We start from the raw sequence: 24330 nt of genomic DNA, 5'->3' as shown, positions 1-24330 counted from the left end.
TGTTCTCTGAAGTTCCCTTATCTTCCTAAAATACGGGCCTACCAAAGAAGCAAACAATTACTTCTGGTCCCTTTCCTGAGTTTTCATGAACTGAACTCATATTGCAGGAAGAATGACTGAAGTCTGTCAATAAACTTGGACAGGCTTCTGTCAGAAACCATTGTTTCCTCTGCAGGCTCAAGAGACTTTGTCCCAGGTTGCTGTATGTTCTTCAAGCCCACTGAATTCCCCTAAAAATCACCTACTATCCCCCTAAAGTCATCCATACTTCTCCATCTCCATTTTCCCTACCAAGAAAGGCATATAACTGTACCCCATTGTGTGGCAGGGTCATCACTCTGTAATATTCCCTTCATGCACGCTGATAAACCTGTATGCCTTTTCTCCTGCTAACCTGCCTCTTGTGAGCCAATTTTTCTATGAACCTTCAGAGGGTGAGGGGGAAGTCTTACCTTGGCACTCAGCCCCTATGCTGAGTACCTGGAACTGAAGAAAGACTGGAAGGCCTCAGAAACAAGGTCTTTCTTACCTTCTCCCATCCCTCTTTCTCCCCTAAAGCAAGTCATAGAAACCAGGATTCCTCTTCCTCAAGGTTGAGTCATAGAAACCTGAAATCCTCTCCCTTAATACAGGCCATAAAACCTAGAAAGGTTATTTTCTTACTTCTCCCTTTCCCCTTGAAAACTCTCACTCCAGAGGAGTTCTGCTCCAGCCATACCTCGGAGGAAGAAATGCTACACAAAAAGGCCAAAGAGAATGTGAACAGACAGGCCTTGCTTAGCTTCCTCTCTCAGTCTACTACCGTTAGATCATACCCTTCTGTCTAATCACATTTCAACATGGCTGTCCATTCTTATTGTACCTAAGCATAAAAATGGTTTCCCCTGGGTCTTTGGGGCCTTTATTTCTGAAGGATTTCATATCATGTAAAACTTTGATTAAACAAATGCGGTATGTTTTTCTTGTTACCCTGTCTTTTGTTATAGGAGTGTCAGCTATGACCCTTATGATGGGTGAGGAAGGGTATCACACCTTTCTGCTATTGGGGCTCAGAAAATGATAGGCTAAAATATGGCACTCTGGCATGCTAAACCAAAGCAGCAGCTTCAAGGTCTCTCTGACCTTCCCCTCCTCCTGTCTTTCAATCCTATCTCTTCTAAAGCACTGGATGCGGCTCTTCTCTGATATTCCATTCTCTACCTTAAGACTGGACCTGCCAAAGAGAACACAATGGTCTTCCATCCCATTCCTGAAATCTTATTGTTAATATCTATTGCAGAAAAGAAAACAGAAAAAAGCAACTACACCTAGACAAACACTTTTTCATAAGATCATGCCTGCCTCTCAGGCTCATTCAAATTCCAAAGAGAATCATTTACAAGTTAATTTCTGTGTCTTGGGTGCATTCATTTTCCCTAAAAATCATTCACTTCCTTTCAAGATTGCTAAACACCCAATTTCCCCTTCCCTTCTGCTGAAAGGTAGATAAGCATTTGGACCTCACTGGGTTATCGGGTCATCATTCTCTTGTGCTTATGCATGTTAAATAAATCTCTATGCTTCTTCTCCTATTACTCTGTCTATTGTCAGTTCATTTCTGGTGAACCTTCAGAGGGCAGAGACAAACCTTTCCCTTAACTCCTATACCACCCCTATACTGGGAAATAAAAAAAAATTCCAGAGTAAAGATAGGGAGGAAGAGAGAGCAGGGAATAATTATAATTAGAAAGTTGTCCTTGGAAGAGGGCATAGATTTGTTCTGGATAGTATAAAACCATAGGTAAGTTCTGTTCAAAATAAGGAAGAGATTACCAACAATCTACAATTTTTCATCCCTTATGGTGATCAATCATAAGTTGGATAATCACTTGATGGGGGTACAACATGAGGAATTCAAGTACTCTTTGGATTAGATACTTTAAAGATTCCTTCTAATCTTATAATTCTAAAATCCCATGGCTTTTAAAAAATATTTATTTCTTCAACTTTATAAAATTCTCCACTTATTAAAAAAAGAGAGTTCCTATAAATATTAAAACAAAACAAAACTATACAAACCTCAGCAGCTGCATAACCAGGGTATACTTCAACACCAAGGGCTTCTGCTTGTTCGCCCATCCAGCTCACTAAATGTCCCAAGCGTACAATGTAATTGCCATGATTATTCATTGGAAGCCCTATAAATATATGCTTAATTTATAAATCTGACTTTTTATTGATAAGACATTACAAAAACATAAATACTTTAAAATTTCGAATCAATATGTATTTCTACATAAGTGCTACATTGATGGTCACACTTTCAACTTATTTTCTACAATTTTGGTCTAGAGTTCTAATTTATTACATTACAAACAACATTAAAGCACTAAGTTAGAAATTCCTGCTTGGCTTACAAGGCTATCTCAATTCTTCTAGACTGGAAGACAAAAGAACTGAGTTCTAGTCCTGCTTTCCCACCAGCTAGCTGTATAGCTTTGAGTAAGTCCTTCAAATATCTGGGTCTCAGTTCTTGTCTGTAAAAGGAGGAAATTTCGTCAGATGAAATGTAGTTCCTTCCAGCTGTGGAATTCCATAGTTCTATGCATATTCACTATACCTTACCTGGAAGAATTGGCACAGGAATTCTGTATTTCTCTGTTAAAATTCCAAATCTGTCTTCTGTTACAGGAGTGTTAAGTGGAGCCTAGAAATAAAAGAAGAAAAAGAAATGTTTTTAGTTTATATTTGCAAGTGTAAATATAAATACAAAAAAACTATAAAATGTACTCTGATGACAAAAAAAGAACTCCCCCCTAATTTTCTTTTGGCATTTCCTTTATAAAACTTGTCACTGTGAATCCTTTCTCTGTCTGAGATGTACAGAAATCTTTTTTTTTTTTTTTTTTGAGACAGTGTCTCTTTCTGTCACCCAGGCTGGAGTGCAGTGGTGCAATCTCAGCTCACTGTAGCCTCTGCCTCCTGGGTTCAAGTGTTTCTCCTGCCTCAGCCTCCCAAGTGGCTGGGCTTATAGGCACCTGCCACCATGCTGGGCTAATTTTTGTATTTTTAGTAGAGAGGGGGTTTTACCATGTTGGCCAGGCTGGTCTCGAACTCCTGACCTCAAGTCATCCATCCGCCTTGGCCTCCCAAAGTGTTGGGATTACACGCCCGGCCAGCTGGGAATCTTTTAAAAATCTAAATAAACCTCTTGCCAGTTTTGCATCCCAGGAATATATTTCTTGGGAGTCTTGGAAACACCTTTGAAACGTGACCCTCATGTCTTTTTGTCTCTGTGGAGAGGTTAGCCAAGTTGCTTGGCTCTTAAGTTGAAACTTCCTGGTTGGTGAAAGGTAAGAGAAGTTTTATTTTCCTCTTGGATAAAGAGAATTAACATGTTGTTACACTGTACCTGCTGGCTATACATATTAAAAGGCACCAAAGTCTGTGTGGTGGCTCACAGGCCTGTAGTCCCAGCAATTTGGGAGGCCGAAGCTAGTGGTTTTGAGCCCACATGGCAAAAATCCTGTCTGTACTAAAAAAATACAAAAATTAGCTGGGTGTGGTGGTGCACGCCTGTAATCCCAGCTACTAAGGGGGCTGAGGTGGGAGGATTACTTGAGCCCCGGAGGTTGAGGCTGCAGAGAGCCATGATTGTGCCACTGTACTCCAGCCTGGGTGACAGAGTGAGACCCTGTCTCAAAAAAAAGGTGCCAAAGCAATAAAGGGCTTTAACATGAAAAACATTTTCTATTAGAATTGATATTATGTCAGTGTTAATTCAATAATATCCATTTCTGATATAATATCAAAAGGATAAATTCAACTGGGCCTAATTAAAGTATTTCTAGTTTAAGGGAGCTTGATATTTCAGAAAGGAGAGACAGACGAAATTTTTGGAATTCAATTTATTCCATATGGAAAAAATACAGATATTTATATAATTTTTGATCTTTGCAAGTATATTCACAACCACTGAATAATCTAATCTAGGAGGTAGGACAGGTATAATATAACCCATCTTAGAGAAGAAAAAATTGACAATCTAAGATTTTAACCAAATTCATACAAATTTTATTTAAGACAATAAAACTTGGACTTGGTCCTCTGTATATCACACCTGTGGTTTTTCTGCTTAGGTTATGGGAAGCCATATTAATATGTTTCTTCAGAAAATTAGGTTATCCTCTTTGGCTTTAGATATTGCATTGTCCCAGGAATTATTACTTTATTAAGAACAATCATACAAAGACTTAAAGAACAAGTTTAAAAATACCCTCAAAATACAAAATGCCTCCCAAGAAATATTCAAAGGTCTTCTCAAGTTATCTTCTCATATACCCATTACATAAATACATGTAGAAAGCATTACACAAAAATATTTGTTAATATCATAAATTACAATTCTGATATAAATTTTTTTTTAATTTAAAAAGTATATAATTATTCCCTTAGAGTTACATGGGCTGGGCGTGGTGGCTCATGCCTGTAATCCCAGTGCTTTGGGAGGCCAAGGTGGGTGGATCGCCTGAGGTCAGGAGTTCGAGACCAGTCTGGCCAATACAGTGAAACCCTGTCTCTACTAAAAATACAAAAAATTAGCTGGGAGTGTTGGCAGGTGCTTGTAAACCCAGCTACTAGGGAGACTGAGGCAGGAGAATCACTTGAACCTGGGAGGTGGAGGTTGCAGTGAGCCAAGATCGCGCCATTGCACTCCAGCCTGGGCAACAAGAGTGAAACTCCATCTCAAAAAAAGAAAAAAAAAAAAGATAGAGTTACATGAAAAGGGTTTCCTATATTCCAGTAATTTGGGAACAATTACTGAAATACAATTACAAAAGATTAGACTTTGTATAAAAAACAATTTTTCATACCCCCTTCTCTTTCCAGTCTGGGAAGAGTTCTTTAAAAGCACCTGGATCAAGGCAAGCCCCTGAGAGAGTATGAGCTCCTATCTGGGCAGCTTTCTCCACTAGACACACACGGATGTCCTTTTCATGTGCCACAGCCAACTGTTTTAGACGAACAGCTGCAGAGAGCCCTGCAGGGCCTGCACCAACTATTACAACATCTGCTTCTTCTGCAAACCTTTCCATGTTCACTCCTGGGAGAAATAAAAATTCTGGGATTAATATAACCCAATAATCACATGATAAATCACATGACAGTTAAAAAATATCCACTGTGCTTTAGAGTATTATTTATGGAAATTCTCCCTGTGTTTTGCACAATAATTATATTAAGCATATTACTGTATTAGTATGATTATATTCTTAGGTTCTGTTCCAGTACATACTTTATTTCAGTTTCCATAAACTAATTCTTGGCTTTGAGATTTATTATTATACATTTAGCAAATATTTACTTGTGTAAAATACAGTCACAAGTCACTTAATGACAGAAATGCTTTCTGAGAAATGCATCGTTAGGCAATTTTGCCCTTTTGCAAACATCATAGAGTATACTTACACAAACTAATTGAACAGCCTATGATACACCTAGGCAACAGGGTATAGGCTATTGCTCCTAGGCTACAAAGCTATATAGCATGTGACTGACTATACTGAACACTGTAGGCAACTATAATAGTATGTATGTAACTAAACACATCTAAACACAGAAAAAGTACAGCAAAAATACAGTATAAAATATTTAAAAATGGTATATCTGTACAGGGTACTTACCATGAATAGAACTTACAGGACTGGAAGCTGTTCTTGGTGAGTGACTGAGTGAGCAGTGAGAATGTGAAGGACAAGGACATTACACTACTATAGACTTCATAAACACTGTATGCTTAGGTTACACGCAATTTATAAAAAAATTTTTTCGTCAGTAAATTAAACTTAGCTTACAGTAATGTTTTTATTTTATAAGCTTTTAAATGTTTTAAACTTTTTGACTCTCTTGTAATAACACTTAGCTAAAACACAAACACATTGTACAGCTGTACAAAAAATGGTTTTTATATCATTTTTCTATAAGTTTCTTTCTTTTTAAAATTTTTTTTCCTTTTACCTTTTAAACTCTTTTATTAAAAATTAAGACACAAACACACACATTAGTTAGGCCTACACAGGGTCAGGATCATCAATATCTTTCACCTCCACATTTTCTCCCACTGGAAGGTCATCAAAGACAATAACACGCATGGAGCTGTCATCTCCTATGCAAATGGTAGCTTCTTCCAGAATACCTCCTGAAGGACCTGCCTGTGTCTGTTTTACAGTTAACTTTTTAAAAAAATTAAGTAAGAGTACACTCTAAAATAATGATAAAAGTATAATACAGTAAATACATAAACCAGTAACAGTCGTTTATTATCAAGTATCATGTACTGTACATAATTGTATATGGTAGACTTTTAAAGAACTGGCAGTAGAGTATGTTTGTTTACATCAGACTCACCACAAATAATTGAGTAATGTGTTGAGCTACGATGGTCTGGAAGCTATGTTCTAAAAGATGTCACTAGGTGATAGGAATTTTCAGCTCCATTATAATGTCAAGGGATTACCATTATAATTGTCGTGTTGTTGACTGAAGGGTCATTATGCAGCATGTGACTTGGTAAAGCCACAAAATATTATTAGATGTTTTTAAATTATGAAAAATATTAATACTCTCCTCCACAAAATGAAAACAAAGTATCCAGAAAAGTCTCAGGAATTGTACACAAATTATTACTTACCTTCCCATCTCTTGTCCTTATCCCGGGGATAAATAGTATAATGGGTAGTAATTCGAGGCACAGTAGAAGTTGAAGACCATCTTGTAGCACATAGAGGTAGATAATTTTTCTTAATTTTTAAGGCATGAAAGCACTGATATGCTGCACAAAAATTACGAAAATTATTATCTTCCTTAAAATTAGTTTTCCTCAGTAGACTGAAAAAATATAAGTGAATGACTATACTCAATGAGTATAGTGAAATATACTATAATCTTTCCTAGGTGAACACTTTGAATAGCTTTTTCTCATAAAGCAATGTTTTCAAATCTTAAATATTTTAAAACTAATAAGCAAATTTATTCAATTTAGCTCATGTCAGGCTTAACTATGGATTAGTCATGAAAGCTGAACACTTTGAGAGTAATATGGAGTAGTATAATCACCGTGTTAGGTCAATGGCTTTAAGCACAAACTTTGTTTTATGGTCAGGTTCTTAAGGCAGTATCTTCTTCTTTTTCTTCTTCTTTTTTTTTTTTTTTTTGAGACAGAGTCTCACTCTGTCACCCAGGCTGCAGTGCAGTGGTGCAATCTCAGCTCACCACAACCTCTGCCTCCTGGTTTCAAGCGATTCTCACGCCTCAGCCTCCAGAGTATCTGGGACTACAGGTGTGCACCACCACACCCAGCTAATTTTTGGATTTTTGTTTTTTTTTTTTAGTAGAGATGCGGTTTTGCCATGTTGGCCAGGCTGGTCTCGAACTCCTGGCCTCAAGTGATCTGCCTGCCTCAGCCTCTAAAATTGCTGGGATCATAGGCGTGAGCCACTGCACCTGGCCACAGTATCTTCTGATATCCTTAAAAATGTATACATTTTTGAGTCAGCAAAAAGTATTTTATGGAAATGAACAGAAATATGCAAAGATTTATCTGCAAAAATGTTCACTGAACCTTCTCTGTTGTCCTCAAACCTTCAACTCCACCTCTTCTTTCCTTTATCCAGGGCAGGTACCCTAGCATCAAACCTCATAAAGACAGAAGCAATTAGATGGGAATTTTCTCAACTCCTTGGCAGTAACTTCTAATATAATCTGTATTTGTGCCCATACTTTGTTCATTATCTCAGTTTATAGCAGAAGAGATGTCTTTTCTCCCGTTGATTGTACTCAATGAATATAGTGAAACAGACTATATTCTTCTCCACTGGGGTTAATCTTTCTAGCTGGATGAGAAGGCTTATCTCTCCCGTTGTCTAGAGACATTCCTCCATCTGATACCATCCCTTCTGAGCTTCAATTTTGACTCCCTTCTCAGGCTCTGTTCATCTTGATAATCGTCCCTATCATTAAAAAAAGACAAAGAATCCTCCCATGAAACCACTCTTGACAGATATAGAAACTTATATTTGAAGCTATATTCATTAGAAGTCTGTTATAGGAGAAGGGATAGAATAATTAAAAAAAGAATAAAGAGTTCAGAAATAGAATACACATAGGTATATGGTATATAATAAAGATACCATTTCAAATTAGGGAGAAGAAATGGTTACTCATTAAATGGTGCAGAGATAGCTAGAAAGCCATTCAGAAAAAAAGTATACTCTGCTCCCTAGGTCAAAATGAATTATATTTGATCGAAGATTTTATTAGGGTAGGTTCAAAGTATAGAAGACTATGGTTGGCTGGGCACAGTGGCTCATGACTGTAAATCTCAGCTAAGGCGGGAGGACTGCATGAGGCCAGGAGTTCAAGATCCTCCTAGGCAATATAGCAAGACCTCTTCTCTACAGAAATAAAAAATAAAAAGTAAAAAAATTAGCTAGGTGTGGTGGTATGCACCTGCAGTCCCACCTACTCAGGAGGCTGAGGTACGATGATCACTAGAGCCCAGTAATTCGAGGCTACAGTGAGCTAGGACCACGTCACTGTACTCCAACCTGGGCAACAAGCACCTTGTCTCAAAAAAAAAAAAAAAAGATGGTGATATATCCATAAATTCTTCAATTCTCTCCTCCCTTTGAGTGATGTGGGATGAACTTATTGAGTAGCTTCTAACAAGTAGAGAATGGAAAGTGAAAAATGTTAACTTTACAGTAGAGAAATATGGCAGATATCACTTTAAGCAAGTGATCAAGTTTAATGTTACCAGCAATAAGACATATTGATACCATGTATCCCTGATATGATGTGGTGAAAAGGGTTCTTTATCTCTGTGGTATTTATCCCCAAAAATCTTTAACCTCAGTCTAATCATGAGAAATGATCAGACAAACTCAGATTGAGGGACATTCTACAAAATGCTCGACCAGTACATATCAAAACTGTAAAGGTCTTGGGACACAAGAAAAGACAGAGGAACTGTCAAATTGAAGTAGACTATGGAGACCTGCCAACTAAAGGCAACCTTGTGCCCTGGACTGGATCCTGGAACAGAAAAAGAAGATCTGAATAAAATCTGTAGTTTAATTAACTTTATTTCATCAATGTTAATTTCTTAGTTTTGATAATTATACTATGGTTACATAAGACATGAAGCTCCGCAAAGGGCATATGGGAACTCTCAGTACTATTTTTGCAACTTATCTGTAAATCTAAAACTATTTCAAGATAAAAAGTTAAAAAGATTATGGTGATAAAAAAAGTTAACTCAAGAAAGATCAAACCCTATATTTGCTAAAACCATAAAACTCTTTGAAGACATGAGTGTAAATCTTTGTGACCTTGTGTAAACCAAAAACAAAATTCTAAGGCCCCCAACCACTGAATGGACTCTCTTCTTGGCCAGGGGGATTCCAAAGAAACCCAAAAAAGTAGTTCATGCCATGATGGTAAGTAGAGGGTCAGACATGCCTCATTATACCCTCTCCCTTTTGGAGTTTAGACATAACTGACCAGCATTAACATTAATATTGAAATCCTAAGACTGACAGAACAGACTCTTTGTAGCAATAAGATACCAACTCCAACCTGACTCTGGTATAACATCACATGACAACAGGCCCTAGAGGAAATCAATGTATTGTACCCCAAAATATATTTCTTGGACATAATTTTTGGATTGGCCCTGCAAAGCTGTCTCTTGTGAGGAACATTTACATTCTGTGGAGAATTCTCTTCCCTTTCTAGGCCTTTTCCTGATCTAGGAGAGATTTAACTAAGAGTCTGATACCTTTTAAGGCAAGCTTGTCCAACCTGCAGCCTATGGGCCACATGTTGCCCAGGATGCCTTTAAATGTGGCCCAACACAAATTCGTGAACTTTTGAGATGTCCTGCCTTTCCAGGCCAAGCCAATGTAAACCTTACACGTATTGATTAATGTCTTTGCCTGTAACTTTTCTCCCTAAAATGTATAAAATCAAGCTGTAACCCAGCCACCTTGGATACATGTTCTCAGGACCTCCTGAGGCTGTATCGTGGGTCATGGTCCTCACATTTGGCTCAGAATTAATCTCTTCAAATAGTTTATGGAGTTTGGCTTTTTCATCAACACTTGGGTTTAGGCAATGGTTTCTTTGATAGAACAACCAAAAACACAAGCAACGACAAAAAATACAGTTAAACTGCACTTCATCAAAATTAAAACCTTTTGTGCATCAAAGGATACCATCAAGAAAGTGAAAAGATAGCCCGTGGAATGGGAGAAAATATTTTCAAATCATATATCCGATAATGGACTTATATTTAGAATACAGAAAGAACTCTTATATCTAGTAACAAAAGACAAATAATCCAATTAAAAAGTGGGCAAAGGATCTGGATAGACACTTCTTCAAAGATGATATACAAACGGCCAATAAGTACATGAAAAGATGCTCAGCAGCATTAGCCATCAGGGAAATGCAAACCAAAGCCACATGAGGTACTATTACATCCACTAGCATGGCTATAGTCGAGAAGTCAAGCAATAATAAAACCACCTTTGCAAAAATTATAACTGAGAAAATTATTACAGTGAAAGAGATCTGACCTAACTGACTCCATCTTGCTTCTAACCTCCAAGTAGTCCTTGTTCATTCCTGGGAGTAGGCTGAACTAACTTTGGGAGTTTATAGTTTAATTTTGAAACAAAGACAATCACAGCCCTTTCCCAGAACAAACCCCCTTCCTTCCTGGGGACCAGACTGTCTTTGCAGGACTAACAAATTAGCTACAAGATTAGAAATTATGGTTTAAGAGTCATGCAGCTGGAGGTGGCAAGATTCTGAACCTTCCCAAATTGCTCCTGGGGATAACATCACTATTGTAAAATCTAGGATCACTACTTGAGATATTTTGCAGATCCTGCACTTGATGGATCAGCTGGCACCACCCAGATCGATGAACTAGCTCATCTGGTCGTTTGGCTCCCACCCTGGAACTGACTCAGTGCAAGACGACAAACTCATCTCCCTGTGATTTCACCTCTGACCTGACCAATTGGCACTCCCCACTTTCTGACCCCCCTACTCATCAAATTATCCTTAAAATCCCCAGTCTCCAAGTTTTCGGGGAGACTGATTTGAGTAATAAAACTATGGTCTCCTGTACAGCCGCCTCTGTGTGAATTAAACTCTTTCTCTATTCTAATTCTCCTGTTTTGATAAATTGGCTCTGTCTGGGTAGTGGGCAAGGAGAACCTGTTGGGCGGTTTCAATAACAAGAGTTAGCAAGGATGTGGAAAAATTGGAACCTTCATACACTCCTGGGGGAATGCAAAAATGATGCAGTCTCTTTGAAAAACAGTCTGGCAGTTCCTCAAAAGGTTAAACATAGAGTTTTCATGTGACCCATTCCTAAGTCTATCCCTAAGATAATGAAAACATACTTCTACACAAAAACTTGCACATGAATGTTCCTAGCTGACTTTTTTTTTTTTTTTTTGAGACAGGGTCTCACTCTGTCACCAAGGGTGGAATGCAGTGATGTGATCATGGCTCACTGAAGCCTTGACTTTCCAGGCTTAAGTGATCCTCCCACCTCAGCCTCCTGAGTAGCTAGGGCTACAGGTGCATGCCACCATGCCCGGATAATTGTTTCTATTTTTTTGTAGACAAGCAGTCTCACTGGGTTGTGTAAGCTGATCTCGAAATCCTGGGCTCGAGCAATATGCCCGTCTCAGCCTCCCAAAACGCTGGGATTCCAGGTGTAAGCCACCACACCTGACCAACAGCTGAATTATTTATAACAGCCAAAAAGTAGAAACAACCCAAATGTTGATCAATAAATGGTAAGAAGTGATATATCCAAATAATGAAATATTTAGCAATAAGAAGAAATTGAATACTGATATATGCTACCACATAGAACTTTGAAAACAATATGCTATGTGAAAGAAGCCAGTCACAAAAAGACAACATAGTATATGCTTCCATGTACAGGAAATATTCAGAATAGGCTAGTTTATAGAGACAGAAAGTAGATTAACTGTTGTCTAAGGCTGGAAGGGGCTTGGGAGTGAATAGTTTCTTTTTGGGGTGATGAAAATGTTCTAAAATAGACTGCAGTGATGGTTTCACAACTCTGACTATACTAAAAACCATTGAATTGTCCATTTTAAATAGTATATATTGTATGATTTGTGACATATCTTATTAAAGTTTATTAAAGCTGTTATAAAAAAGAGCATTTACAGCCACACACAAAAATATTATGAAGAAAACAGGTAATTTTTTTTTTAGAATCTAGGATTTTTCAAAGTTATTTTCTAAGAATGATAAAAATCTAAAAAGTTACAATATCATTAGACTAAAAATTTAAACCATTTATGTGACCAAAAAAGGGTAAAAATATAAATGTCTTTAGTTGTCTGTATTCTCCAGCAGATAGCATGCTCCAAAAGCACTGACCTTGTTGTACGTGAAAACCTAATGTTAGGTATACATATTTGTTGACTAAATATTAGATAGTCCTTGACACATGGTACTATAAAAGATTAATGCTTTTCAGAGTAATTTTCTGTGAAAAGGCAATAAAAATCTGTGTTTGGTCATTTTTTTTAAAGTGGCAAAGAAATGAACTTACTTACGCATACTAAAAACTATAGCACTGGGGCCAGGCATGGTGGCTCATGCCTATAATCCCAGCACTTTGGGAGGCTGAGGTAGGAGGATCACTTGAGGCCAGGAGTTTGAGACCAGCCTGGCCAACATGGCAAAACCCCGTCTCTACTAAAAATACAAAATTAGGCATGGTGGTGGGCACCTGTGATCCCAGGTACTACGGAAGCTCAGGCACGAGAATCACTTGAACCCGGGAGGCAGAGGTTGCAGTGAGCTGAGATTACATCACTGCCCTCCAGCCTGGTCAACAGAGCAAGACTGTGTCAAAAAAACCCCAAAAAACAAAAAAACTATATTGGCAACACTTTTTAAGCCTTAGATAACTATTCACCTATCCTCAATTTTGGAAAAAAAAAAGTATATTAAATACATAAAGATATTCTAGAACTCAGTTCAAGAGTTCAAATACACTATAACGAATATTTAAAATATTTAGTTTTCAATGCATTGTAGTTTAGTGCATAGAAGTTATTTACTTCTGAAAACTGATGACTGACATATGACAAACTATTTCTACTGCTTGTATAGCTACTGATTTTCTTGAGAATATTTGGAACTGTGTAGTCTGAATTTCTCCAAAGGATTGGAAAAAAAAGTCACAACCTTTACCCCTTTTCTGAAAACACATCTGATATCTCACTTTAGAGATTGGAATATTCAGTCTCCGTGGTTGAGAAGAGAAGTCACAAAGTCCACTGAACTCATAGCATCACCATATCAAAGTCACACTGATGGCACATTGGTGTCTACCTCTTTCATGCCAGCAGGCTACGAAAATGGCAATGAATTGCCATCCAAAGAAAACAGAAATGGTAGTGGAATTTGGTTAGCACTGGGCCCAAGGCTGATTGCATCTAAATTAGGCTCTAAGGCAGATAGCATCTGACTACTTTAACGTTCCAAACACCATCTTATCCATACATTAAGTGCAGCAAAAAATGCATGGGTGACATGAAATTTAAACAAAGTTCTAATTTCTTAATATATGGAAGCCAAATTTAACAAAATTCTACTTTCATGAAATTTCATAAGAATATCCTTGAATTTGGAATATTTAGACTTAATGATTCTATCACCAAAACTTAAGTAAACTAAAGATTTAAAAAAATTAAGCCAGTTATGACAGAATATGAGATCCTTTAGGGAACTTTTCTGTTTGAATTAACGACAACAACAAAAATTTAAGTAAAACTTTAAAAAGACCATCCAACTTCATCTGTCACGATGGTTCACAGAATACCCATAACACGATAAAGCCCTTAGAGTTAATTTAATTTAATTTTTTTTTGAGACGGAGTCTGGCTCTTTCACCTAGGCTGGAGTGCAGTGGTGCGATCTCAGCTCACTGCAACCTCCACCTCCGGGTTCAAGTGATTCTCCTACCTAAGCCTCCTGAGTAGCTGGGATTACAGGAGTGGGCCACAACGCCCAGCTAATTTTTGTATTTTTAGTAGAGATGGGGTTTCACAATGTTGGCCAGGCTGGTCTTGAACTCCTGACCTCAGGTGATCCATCCGCCTCAGCCTCCCAGAGTGCTGGGATTACAGGCTTGAGCCACCACGCCCAGCCCTTAATTTTAGACAACGCAGAAAAACTGGCTCCAGATACACTTGGGTGACTTGGTCAACATATGAATGTTAACCATGATGTGACAGATCAGACTTCAATTTCTTTAGACTGAACTAGAATGGCTCCGAAGACGAAAGTCAGGTCAGGACCAGGGAGAAAAACTGGGCAAATACGATTTTTTTTTTTCCATTTCCAACAGAGGTTTGAAGATTAGAACCAGGATTTGGGAAGCCTCAGTTCAGGAGTCCACCGAGGTGTGTGTGTGTTGACAGGTGGTGGTGATGCCGAGGGCGTGTTGACAAGTTTTCCCCGCCCTTGACCTTTAGCCTAGATATTAATTCTACCAACTGGGGCAACCCCAGAGGGAGGAAGCCAGGGTCCCCCAACAGGCTGACAGCGCGTGACCTTTGCCCTAGATAGCCTGAGAAAGCTGATGAGAGAAGGGGCGAGAGGTGCCTACAGCCCCCAGGACCGGCCTTGTCCCTTTTGCCCTAACTCCTCCACTTATCCCCACCGCCCGTTTCCTCTCACCCAGGCAGGACAGCTTGGCTAGCGGCACCAGCATGTTCAAAGTCACCAGGACTCTCGGTCGGACACAACAGGAGGACTGTCCGCTGCTCGCGGCGGGCGCTGGACCTCTAGGCCGCGGGGGGCGCCATCACCTGCCGGAAAGCAAGAACTCTGCTGCAGTTCGCCTCCCCGCTCTGCCGACCGCTCTTGCTTCACGGCGTTCCCACCTCCTTCTCGCTCTGCGCCGGCGCCATGGATGACGCAACGGCCAGCCGAGGCTTCCGGGTCATGTACCAAACCAGGGAAAGATAAGGGACTCCAAGTCCCAGCCGGGGAGCGGTGAAACAGCCACAGCGCGGCCAGAGGGGTCCGCGAATCCCACAGCACGACGCACGCGCAGTGAAAGGCAGTAGAAGGCGGGGCGACGCACACGGCTTCCTGGGAGGTGTAGTTTTCTCTACGAGTGCCCTTCGAGATCGATTGGAGGCTCGCGCAGGAGCCGTGAGTTGCCTAAGGTGAATTGACTCATATGATTGGCTGTCCCGAAAAATGAAACGTCTTTGTGGTCCGGGGCTGAGACCCACGAGGAGACTGGGCGGGATTTCTGGCGTTAGGAGGCGGGGCCTTTCGGCTTTGGGCGCGAGTGGTTAAAAGACAGTTGGTGTCGGTTCGGCTTCTCGGGTCGGATTCCGCGGTCCCAACCCTTCCCCATGGCCGACCCTGAGGAGTTGCAGGTTTCTTCGCCGCCCCCGCCGCCTCCCTCTTCTCCCTCCTCTTCAGACGCCTCTGCAGCATCTTCCCCGGGCGGCCCAGTGAGTTTGGGCTGGCCAGTTCCGAGCAGGAGCAGCGGCCCAACGGTGGACCAGCTGGAGGAAGTGGAGCTGCAGATCGGAGACGTGAGTGTGGTGTCGGGACCGCGTCCCCCCTCGGCGCCTCTGGGAAGACCGGCGGCGGCGGGGCTCGCGAGGCTAGGGAATCGGTCCCCCAACCCCCATGACCCGGGACGACCGGCCCTTCTGCGCCCCAGAGCGTGCGGGCGGGAAGCGGGGGGGATGCCAGCAGCTAAAGTGCCACCCCTCTCTGAGGGTTCCCCCTTTAGATTTAGTGGTGAGGAGTCTTAAGGGGTTTTCCTTCCACCCGCCCCACCCCTCACTGGTTTCTTTTTGTCTCGCCTTCTGGTTTCAATCATCCGCAGTAACCCGAAGCCACGCAGCTCTGCGCTGCCTGTTGCTGGCTCTCTGCCTCCTCCTTTCCCATCGGAGAATAGTTTTCATTGCATGGGTTTCGGAGAATAGTTTTCACTGCATGAGTTTGCTGGCTTTCTGTGGGTACTTGAGATCAGGCTGTGATTTCTTTCCATGGGACTTAGAGCCTGCTGTTCTAGTTGGCCACCTGCCCAGGGACAGCTGATAATGCCATTGTCTGCCCCAGGCCTGCTTAGCGCTGGACCCAGCTTGAAGGGTTTAGGTCACGTGGATTGGCTTCTTTGACGGTTTAGTTCAGGACTCCTCCCTTTGTATGATTGCTAGAATGCATACTTAGGATAGTTTCTGTTAAATCTCGAATCCCCAGAAACTAGCACCCCACCTCCCAACCGTAACTCACACACCACTGGAGGGGAGAAGACAGGGAAGGGGAGTTTTATGTTCTCTTGAGTGGGTCAAGTGGAATGAGGTATGTAGAGTGTAACCTGGGAGAGTTCTGTGGCCTGACCTTTCCTGCAGATTGGAAACTAGGGGATGAACTAGATTATCTCATTGCTCCGCAAGTATTTTTTTTTAAGGATGACTAGAGTGCTTAACCAGCTTTTATTTTTGCAGAACAAACTGATTGCAAGTAAATATGTAGAATGAAGTGCTAATGTGTTATTGAGGAACACTGTTTTATTTTATATCATTGGTGAAGAAAACGTTTGGCTGAAAAGTGAATTTTCCACCAGGAGCTGAGTGTTTTCTGCATTTGTGTGTGATTTTTTAATGTTATTTGTCAGAGCTCAGAGTTTCTGTTCTTTGATCTATACATTTTCATTGTTTAAAGTGTTCACAGGTCAATGCCCATGTTACCCAAATAGCAGTAAGAATTATTTATGATGAAATCTCTCAGATATATCTGGCGCTTAGTGTCAAGGGGTCCAAGTCATCTTGTTGAGCTGAGACTCTAGTGTATTTTCATAGAAAACAGCAATCCTGGGCCAAGCACGGTGGCTCACGCCTGTAATCCCAGCACTTTGGGAGGCTGAGGCAGGCGGATCACCTGAGGTCAGGAGTTCGAGACCAGCGTGACCAACATGGAGAAACCCTGTTTCTACTAAAAATACAAAATTAGCTGTGCGTGGTGGCGCATGACTGTAATCCCAGCTACTAAGGAGGCTGAGGCAGGAGAATCACTTGAACCCGGGAGGCGGAGGTTGCAGTGAACCAAGATCGCGCCATTGCACTCCAGCCTGGGAAACGAGCGAAACTCCGTCTCAAAAAAAAAAAAAAAAAAAGAAAACAACTATACTGATTTGTCATATCTCAGACATAATGGATATTTTTCTAGCAGACCTGTTTCTTCAAAGTCTACTCAATATTAAAGAATTTCTTAGGTTCCGTGAAAGAGCCAGTGCTGTAGTTTGAAAACTGATTACTTTGAAAGAAAATAACATGGGCATTGGATTCAAAGCCTTAAGCTATTTTCAGCCTGCTTATAAAATGAGATGAGAATTTTAAAAATAAAATTATGTTTGACTTTTTTTTTTTAGGCAGCCTTTTCATTAACCAAACTTCTTGAAGCCACATCTGCAGTATCAGCTCAAGTGGAAGAACTTGCCTTCAAATGTACAGAAAATGCACGTTTCCTTAAAACGTGGCGGGACCTCTTGAAAGAAGGCTATGATTCTTTGAAACCTGATGACTGATTTGGCATACTTCGTTGTTTAATAATGACTGCAATAATTCATACTTCTTATGTCATATTTTGTACATGTACCACACATATAGGATGACCTCTGTCCAGCAGTTCTGTATATACTCAGAATGAAATTTTTCTTGGTTTTCTTGGTTTTTGTGAAAGCAGAATACCGATGCTATTTTTGTTGCGGACCAGTACTTGTTTGTCCTTAAATACTTTATGCCTCTGAACTTTCATAGAATCCTTTATGAAAGTTAACTTCATCAATAGACGGTTAATATTAATAGAGCCACAGTGCTACCAGTAGCAAACTAGGTAGACCATTATTTGTTTTGCAACAAGATGCTAAGCATGGCAGACTTTGAAGTTGCGTTTCATCTTAAGGACCAAGGGAGGTAACTTTAAGGTTGCCAGTGGTGGATCCAGCTCCGTTAGGCTAAGTTGTCTACAGCTAATGATTGTGTCTTTATTCTATATCCCCAGCACCTAAAACAGGGTCACACAACATTCACTAAATGTTTGTTGAATAAAAGAGTTAACAAACATAATTGAAAGCTTTTTTTCTTCCTATATTTAGCATGAAGACTGTCATTGTTTCTCTAGGAAATGTATGAATCTGAACTTTTTTGACTTGAAGAAAAACATTCTTTTTTTACAGAGATTTGGACTTTGATGATAGGTTTTAAAAATATATGATAAATATTTTTTGTACTTGTTTGATTTTTTTTTTAAAGACTTTACTTCAGAAAGGGAAAGACTGTTTAGAAAGAATGCATATTTTTTCCCTATTTATTTCTGTGGTTACTGCTTTTGCAGTTTAACAGTGTTTGTATTTGATATTTGTATATGTTTGATTGCTATCTTTAAAGTGCCTTATCAGATTTATGGCTCTGTGCTATTACTTTTTGAGCTTTGCAAGTTGTGTACATAATAATTCTAAAGAAGTTACTTTGTTTGCAATGCATCAAATTTAAATGATGTGATTTTTTTTGTATTATTTGATCTTAGTGACAGTGTTCTATTTTGCATCCTGTATCTTATGTTGCTTTTGGTGTTTTGTGTTGTGTGTCAACGATTAAGCCAACTAATTCTCTACCATATATAACTTCTGGACATTTTTGATACAACATCTTAATTCTTTGTAGATATGGAGATAGGTACAGAACTATATTCTAATGCCCCACAATGGGGCTATGAGAGGGGACAGATGGATGGGCAAAGAATAGTTTTGTTTAACATATTAGGTCATAGTTCTTGATTAGTTTTTTTAGTTAAAGATAAACACATAGGGTGTGATTTCTATACCAAAGATATGCTTATTTCAGTATTAGAAAAATATTCTTCTTACATCTCCTGAAAATTGCAATTTTTAAAATGTGTAAAAATAAATTATTATTAAAAGCACATTTTATTTCCATTTGTTTGGATTCATTACCTTAAAACTTTATTGACATATTTCAAAGATATAGGAAAGGTAAATGATTTCAAGAAAATCCGTGTATTTCTACCATGCAGATGTAATAAATGTTAGCATTTGGCTATATTTTCTTCAGACACACATATGCATGTAATTGCAAATGTTAGATACATTTGAAGTTTGCTTTGTTACCTGTTTGATCCTGTCCCGTTCCTCCCTCCCCAGAGTCCCCAGAGGTAACCACTAGAGGGGGCATAATATAGCATGTGTTTTTATATTTTTAATACAAATATATTTTTTAAAAGCGCTACAAAATATTGTTTTATATATGTGGTAGCCAGCTTCCAGATGGCCCCAGTGATCCCTGGCCTCCTGGTGTTCATGCCCCAGTATAGCCTTCTCCTGCATTTTACAGTGCTGACTTTTGTAACTACCAGGATATTGAGCAAATGCAGTGTGTGATTTCTGAGGCCATATCTTTTACTCTTTTTTTTTTTTTTAAGAGACAAGATCTCACTCTATTGCTCAGGCTGGAGTGTGGTGGCAGGATCATAGCTCACTGTAACCTTAAACTTGGACTCAAACAATCCTCCCATCTCGCCTCCTCCTATAAAGCACTGGGATTACAGGCATTTTTGCTCATTTTTCTATGTTGTTTTTTTTACTTGTCAGTTTTTAGATATTACATATTTTGAATACTAATGATCTGTTATGTATGTTCCAATTATCTTTTTTAGTCTGGTTTGTCTTCATATTTTGGTTATGAAATCTTGAATTTTTAAAAACGTAATTTTACCAATCTTTCATAATGATTTGCTTTTTCTGGTTTTTGTATAGGAAATGTCATAAAAATAGTCCTATTCAGCCTTCCAAAAGTTACAAAATTTTTGTTTTTAACATTTAGATGTTTAGTCCAACTGAAATTTGTTTTCTTTTATGGCATGATTTTGGAATCTTGTTTTAATTATTTTTACATATTTATAGCTGTTCCTCCAAGTATCAATTTTTCAAGTGCAACATCTGTCATGCAGTTACTATGTAAGGGCCAGATTCTGACCTTTCTGTTCTTTTTATCTGAAGGAAATTTGAACATGCCACCCCCAAATATGCCGATTTGGCATACTGATTATTTCGAGCTAAAGGTGCTTGACTAACAGTAGTTGCAGAAATGGCTATTTTAACTGTCCTTTCCTACCTGTAGCAAGCCATACAAACTTCTTTGATAAAGATGCTTTCCTGATACCAAGATGAGAAGATGGCTCTAATCAGCTGAGACAGCACCAGAGGAATCTACAAACAAGAAACTATTAGTTTCTTAACATATATTTACCTTCCACAGTTTCTGCCTCTGGAAGCCTAAAACTGCTTTCCTTCGTCTTGTCACACTTCTCTGAAATGTATTCTTTGTGGAAGATGCTATATAGTCCAGAGTTGTAAGCCACTACTTGTGTTTACCTTTTCATTGAGTTTTCTCCTGTGTGATGTACGTTGCATATATTAATAAAATTACTTGTTTTTCTCTTGTTAATCTGTCTTTTGTTATAGGGATCTGTCCCAACTGTGAACTTATGAGGCTTGAGGAGAAATTGTATTTCCTCCACTACAGATTTATTTGCTTAACTCCATGCTAAAACTCAATTTGTCTTTCCCTGTAAGAAAAGAAAAAACATGTTACTGATTTCTAATTCTATTGAGTTATGTCAGCTTAGGACAACTGCTGGTGTCAGGTAGTGAGCTTTCTATGGGCACTTTAAGAGTTTACAAAGTGACCTTTTTACATTTCTGTTTGCTTTATGGGAGAGGTTGGGGAAGAGCTGAAAGCGTAAATATTTCCTCAAAGACTTAATAATTTTTTTTAAACGTAGTAAACGGTCCATTACCAGCCCTACAAAAACCCCAAAGGAATGATGTAAATTTTTTTTTGAGACAAATTCTTACTCTGATGCCCAGGCTGGAGTGCAGTGGTGTGATCTTGGCTCACTGCAACCTCTACTGCCCGGTTCAAGCGATTCTCCTGCCTCAGCCTCCCTCGCTGGGATTACAGGTGCACGCCACCACATCCGGCTGATTTTTGTATTTTTAGTAGAGATGGGGTTTCACCATGTTGGCCAGGCTGGTCTTGAACCCCTGACCTCAGGTGATTCTTCTGCCTTGGCCTCTCAAAGTGCTAGGATTACAGGCATGAGCCACTGTGCCGAGCTTATGTAAATTTTTTAGACTCGAGACTAAAGTCAGTAAGATGAAATTGTTAACATAAAAAAAAATGTGTTATGTTTCAAAAATTCTGAGTTTGAAAGATGTGCCAGGTACTATATTAAGAGCTTTATGATGGGGCACGGTGGCTCAAGCTTGTAATCCCTGTATGTCCGGAATTGGTGGTTCTTGGTCTCGCTGACTTCAAGAATGAAGCTGCGGACCCTCGCAGTGAGCGTTACAGTTCTTAAAGATGGTGTGTCCGGAGTTTGTTCATTCAGATGTTCAGATGTGTCCGGAGTTTCTTCCTTCTGGTGGGTTTGTGGTCTCGCTGACTTCAGGAGTGAAGCTGCAGACCTTCACGGTGAGTGTTACAGCTCTTAAAGGCGGCACGTCTGGAATTGTCCGTTCCTTCTGGTGGGCTCGTGGTCTCACTGGCTTCAGGAGTGAAGCTGCAGACCTTCGCGGTGAGTGTTAACAGCTCATAAAGGGGGCGCAGACCCAAAGAGTGACCAGCAGCAAGATTTACTGTGAAGAGCGAAACAACAAAGCTTCCACAGCATGGAAGGGGACCCTAGCAGATTGCCACTGCTGGCTCAGGTGGCCTGCTTTTATTCCTTTATCTGGCCCCACCCACATCCTACTGATTAGTCCATTTTACAGAGAGCTGATCGGTCCATTTTACAGAGAGCTGATTGGTCCGTTTTACAGAGAGCTGATTGGTCTGTTTTGACAGAGCGCTGATTGGTGAGTTTACAAACCTTTAGCTAGACACAGAGTGCTGACTGGTGCCTTTACAATCCTTTAACTAGACAGAAAAGTTCTCCAAGTCCCCACCTGACCCAGAAGCCTAGCCGGCTTCACCTCTTGATGGCACTTGCCGTGGGACTTCGTGGCACCTAGCCCAGGCACTCCAGCAGCCCAGAGGGAGCTCGTTCCTCGATCAAGCCCACCTGGAACCCACGCCGGCCCGCAAGCACCGTGCACAGCCCCAGCTCCCACCCATGCCTCTCCCTCCACACCTCCCCGTGAACAGAGGGAGCCGGCTCCGGCCTCGGCCAGCCCCAGAGAGGGGCCCCCACAGTGCAGCGGCAGGCTGAAGGGCTCCTCCAGTGCATCCAGAGTGGACACCGAGGCTGCGGAGGCGCCAAGAGCGAGCCAGGGCTGCTAGCACATTGTCATCTCTCAATCCCCCCCTCTAAATAGGATACCTTAACTGCTGTTGGGAATTTGGCTGATGACTGCTCTAGCTACTTCCTGCTGGATAGGGGCGAAGAAGTGGCCCTGCAGTTGTGTCCTCCAGAGGGGAACTCTTTAGGCCAGTGGAAGGGCCAGCAGGTCGGTCCAGGGGTCCTCGGTAGAAGTTGTTAGTTGAGCTCATTTGGGGTTCCATTTGTAAGACCATCTGTAGCTTGATGGCCTCGATTCTAGAGGAAACAAATTTGACAAGAAGGTTAAAAATACAGGGTCCAAAGGCGAGTAACAGCAACATGGCTGCCACGGGACCTAGAAAGAGGAGAAGCCATGTTGCCCAACTCTAGAAGTTGGTATAAGAGTTTGAAAGGCGTTGTCTGATTTCAGAAGCCTTTTCCTGAAACACCAGGCAGCATCTCGTACTATCCCTGACTGGTTAGTGTAAAAACAACACTCTTCCCCTAAGAAGGTGCAGAGTCCTCCTTTCTCAGCAGTGAGGAGGTCTAGGCCTTGGCAGTTTTGGAGAGTCACTGCTGCTAAAGAGTCTATTTGGGATTGTAGAGTAAGGATAGATTTCATCACTTCCTGCAAACTGAGAAATCCTTTGAGAGTGTGTGGCAGTATGATAACGCATGTTACACTACTAACTTTTAGCAAACTTTACTTTAGTTGAAAACCTTGTAAGTTTGGGATTTCAATTATTCTTTGCTATTAATAAGACCTTGTTCAGTCCATATTAACTTAAAATTGGTATAGATGGCTCCTTCCTGATTCTGCAAGTACTTTAAGGTTTGGCTGAGTGCAAACAGCTCGAACGTTTAAGCAGACCAATTATTGGGCAATTTTCCTAACTCTGCTTCTGTAAGAGTTTCCTTATCACTTACTGAATACCCATTGTGTCTTTTTTCCTAATTGCCTGGGAGGAACCATCTATCATCCTGTCCTGAAGGGAGTTCCTCCTATGTGTGGTCAGACCTTCAGATTTAGATCTCCTATTAGGAAACCTGCTGGGTTAAGGATTTTTGATAGGAAGGCTATGGGTTGTCAGTGGCCTCAGTGCTTTCAGGCTATGCCCTTGTTTACACTGACAACAAGGTGGTATTGGAGTGTTATAGGGTTACAGAGAAGACCTTAAATTACCAATTGTAGGTTTTAAATTTGCCCTGGCTTTTAAAGGAATAGGGTACACCGTTTTTTCTTTACTACTTCCATCTCTCTTTCTCTTTGACTTCTTTGTCTCTCTCTTCCTCTCTGTCTCTCTCTTTGACTCCTTCTTTGTCTGTCTCTTCCTCTCTCTCTCCTTCTTTCTTTGACTTTTTGTCTCTCTCTCTTTCCTTTCTGTCTCTTTCTCTCTTTCCTTCTTTGACTTTGTATCTCTCTCTCTGCTGGTCTTTCTCTGCCTCTGCCGGCTGCTTATGCTGCTGTTCTCCCCTCACCTTCCCCTTTTTGATGGCTTCGGCAGTGTAAGACTGCCACCTCTTTGGGTTTTTGCACTGCGTGCAATAACTCCATGGTTTCCTTGTGGTATTTAATGGGGGTTCCCCCAGAGGTTAGGAACTCCCTTTCTTTCCATATTGCAGCATGGGCATGTAGGATTAGATAAGCATACTTGCTATCTGTATACACATTTATTCTTTTTCCCTTTCCCAGTTCTAAGGCTCGGGTAAGTGCCACTATTTCTGCTAACTGGGCACTGGTCCGTGGGGGAAAAGCTTACTTTCAAGTACGGTTACATCACTAACTATGGCATAACCTGCCCTTCATATCCCATTATCCACAAATAAGCTTCCATCGGTATACAGGTTAAGGTCAGGATTAGCTAAGGGGACTTCTAAGAGATCATCTCGGGCAGCATAAGTCTGGACTAT

General features: G+C 40.4%; 2 protein-coding genes across 6 annotated transcripts in view, besides 6 other annotated features; one reads left to right on the top strand and one right to left on the bottom strand.

Moving 5' to 3' along the window:
- The window catches only part of ETFDH (electron transfer flavoprotein dehydrogenase), a 37328-nt gene extending 22346 nt beyond the window's left edge, over window positions 1–14982 (bottom strand). The window contains exons 1-5 of one of the 3 annotated variants that reach the window (NM_004453.4): window positions 14788–14982; window positions 6671–6811; window positions 4854–5083; window positions 2605–2686; window positions 2059–2177 (exon numbers count right to left, since the gene is read on the bottom strand). In NM_004453.4, coding sequence (NP_004444.2) covers window positions 2059–2177; window positions 2605–2686; window positions 4854–5083; window positions 6671–6811; window positions 14788–14821 — 606 coding nt within the window. In that variant the 5' untranslated portion in view covers window positions 14822–14982. Of the gene's footprint in view, window positions 1–2058; window positions 2178–2604; window positions 2687–4853; window positions 5171–6670; window positions 6812–14787 lie in introns of those variants that run through there. The other 2 variants (NM_001281737.2, NM_001281738.1) reach the window with 2 other exon arrangements.
- Window positions 14634–15135: an enhancer, noted in NCBI's record as "H3K27ac hESC enhancer chr4:159593295-159593796 (GRCh37/hg19 assembly coordinates)". NCBI's record gives its function as "activates a minimal SCP1, AML or CMV promoter by ChIP-STARR-seq in naive H9 embryonic stem cells {active_cell/tissue: H9 hESC(naive)}" and the evidence as "EXISTENCE:reporter gene assay evidence [ECO:0000049][PMID:30033119]".
- Window positions 14634–15786: a biological region, named in NCBI's record as "H3K27ac hESC enhancers GRCh37_chr4:159592655-159593291 and GRCh37_chr4:159593295-159593796".
- Window positions 14737–15296: an enhancer, noted in NCBI's record as "active region_22085". NCBI's record gives its function as "activates an Ori minimal core promoter by ATAC-STARR-seq in GM12878 lymphoblastoid cells {active_cell/tissue: GM12878}" and the evidence as "EXISTENCE:reporter gene assay evidence [ECO:0000049][PMID:35858748]".
- Window positions 15139–15775: an enhancer, noted in NCBI's record as "H3K27ac hESC enhancer chr4:159592655-159593291 (GRCh37/hg19 assembly coordinates)". NCBI's record gives its function as "activates a minimal SCP1, AML or CMV promoter by ChIP-STARR-seq in naive H9 embryonic stem cells {active_cell/tissue: H9 hESC(naive)}" and the evidence as "EXISTENCE:reporter gene assay evidence [ECO:0000049][PMID:30033119]".
- On the top strand, window positions 15222–20603 carry C4orf46 (chromosome 4 open reading frame 46). 3 transcript variants are annotated; one of them, NR_077235.2, is made up of 2 exons: window positions 15222–15281; window positions 17514–20603. NR_077235.2 is itself a non-coding variant. In NM_001008393.4 (2 exons), exons 1-2 carry the CDS (start codon window positions 15477–15479, stop codon window positions 17663–17665), a joined length of 342 nt encoding a protein of 113 aa, NP_001008394.1. In that variant the 5' UTR covers window positions 15391–15476; the 3' UTR covers window positions 17666–20603. The 3 variants fall into 3 exon arrangements, 1 of the variants encoding a protein (NP_001008394.1); NR_077234.2 differs by having other exon boundaries at window positions 17510–20603; NM_001008393.4 differs by lacking the exon at window positions 15222–15281 and adding an exon at window positions 15391–15662 and having other exon boundaries at window positions 17510–20603.
- Window positions 15717–15786: a silencer, noted in NCBI's record as "silent region_15772". NCBI's record gives its function as "represses an Ori minimal core promoter by ATAC-STARR-seq in GM12878 lymphoblastoid cells {active_cell/tissue: GM12878}" and the evidence as "EXISTENCE:reporter gene assay evidence [ECO:0000049][PMID:35858748]".
- Window positions 15776–16412: an enhancer, noted in NCBI's record as "H3K27ac hESC enhancer chr4:159592018-159592654 (GRCh37/hg19 assembly coordinates)". NCBI's record gives its function as "activates a minimal SCP1, AML or CMV promoter by ChIP-STARR-seq in naive and primed H9 embryonic stem cells {active_cell/tissue: H9 hESC(naive and primed)}" and the evidence as "EXISTENCE:reporter gene assay evidence [ECO:0000049][PMID:30033119]".

Source organism: Homo sapiens, chromosome 4 (genome assembly GCF_000001405.40).
Source record: "Homo sapiens chromosome 4, GRCh38.p14 Primary Assembly".
Taxonomy (NCBI): Eukaryota; Metazoa; Chordata; class Mammalia; order Primates; family Hominidae; genus Homo; species Homo sapiens.
The sequence above is the reverse complement of the archived record's forward strand: the minus strand, read 5'-3'. Positions and strand labels throughout refer to the sequence as shown.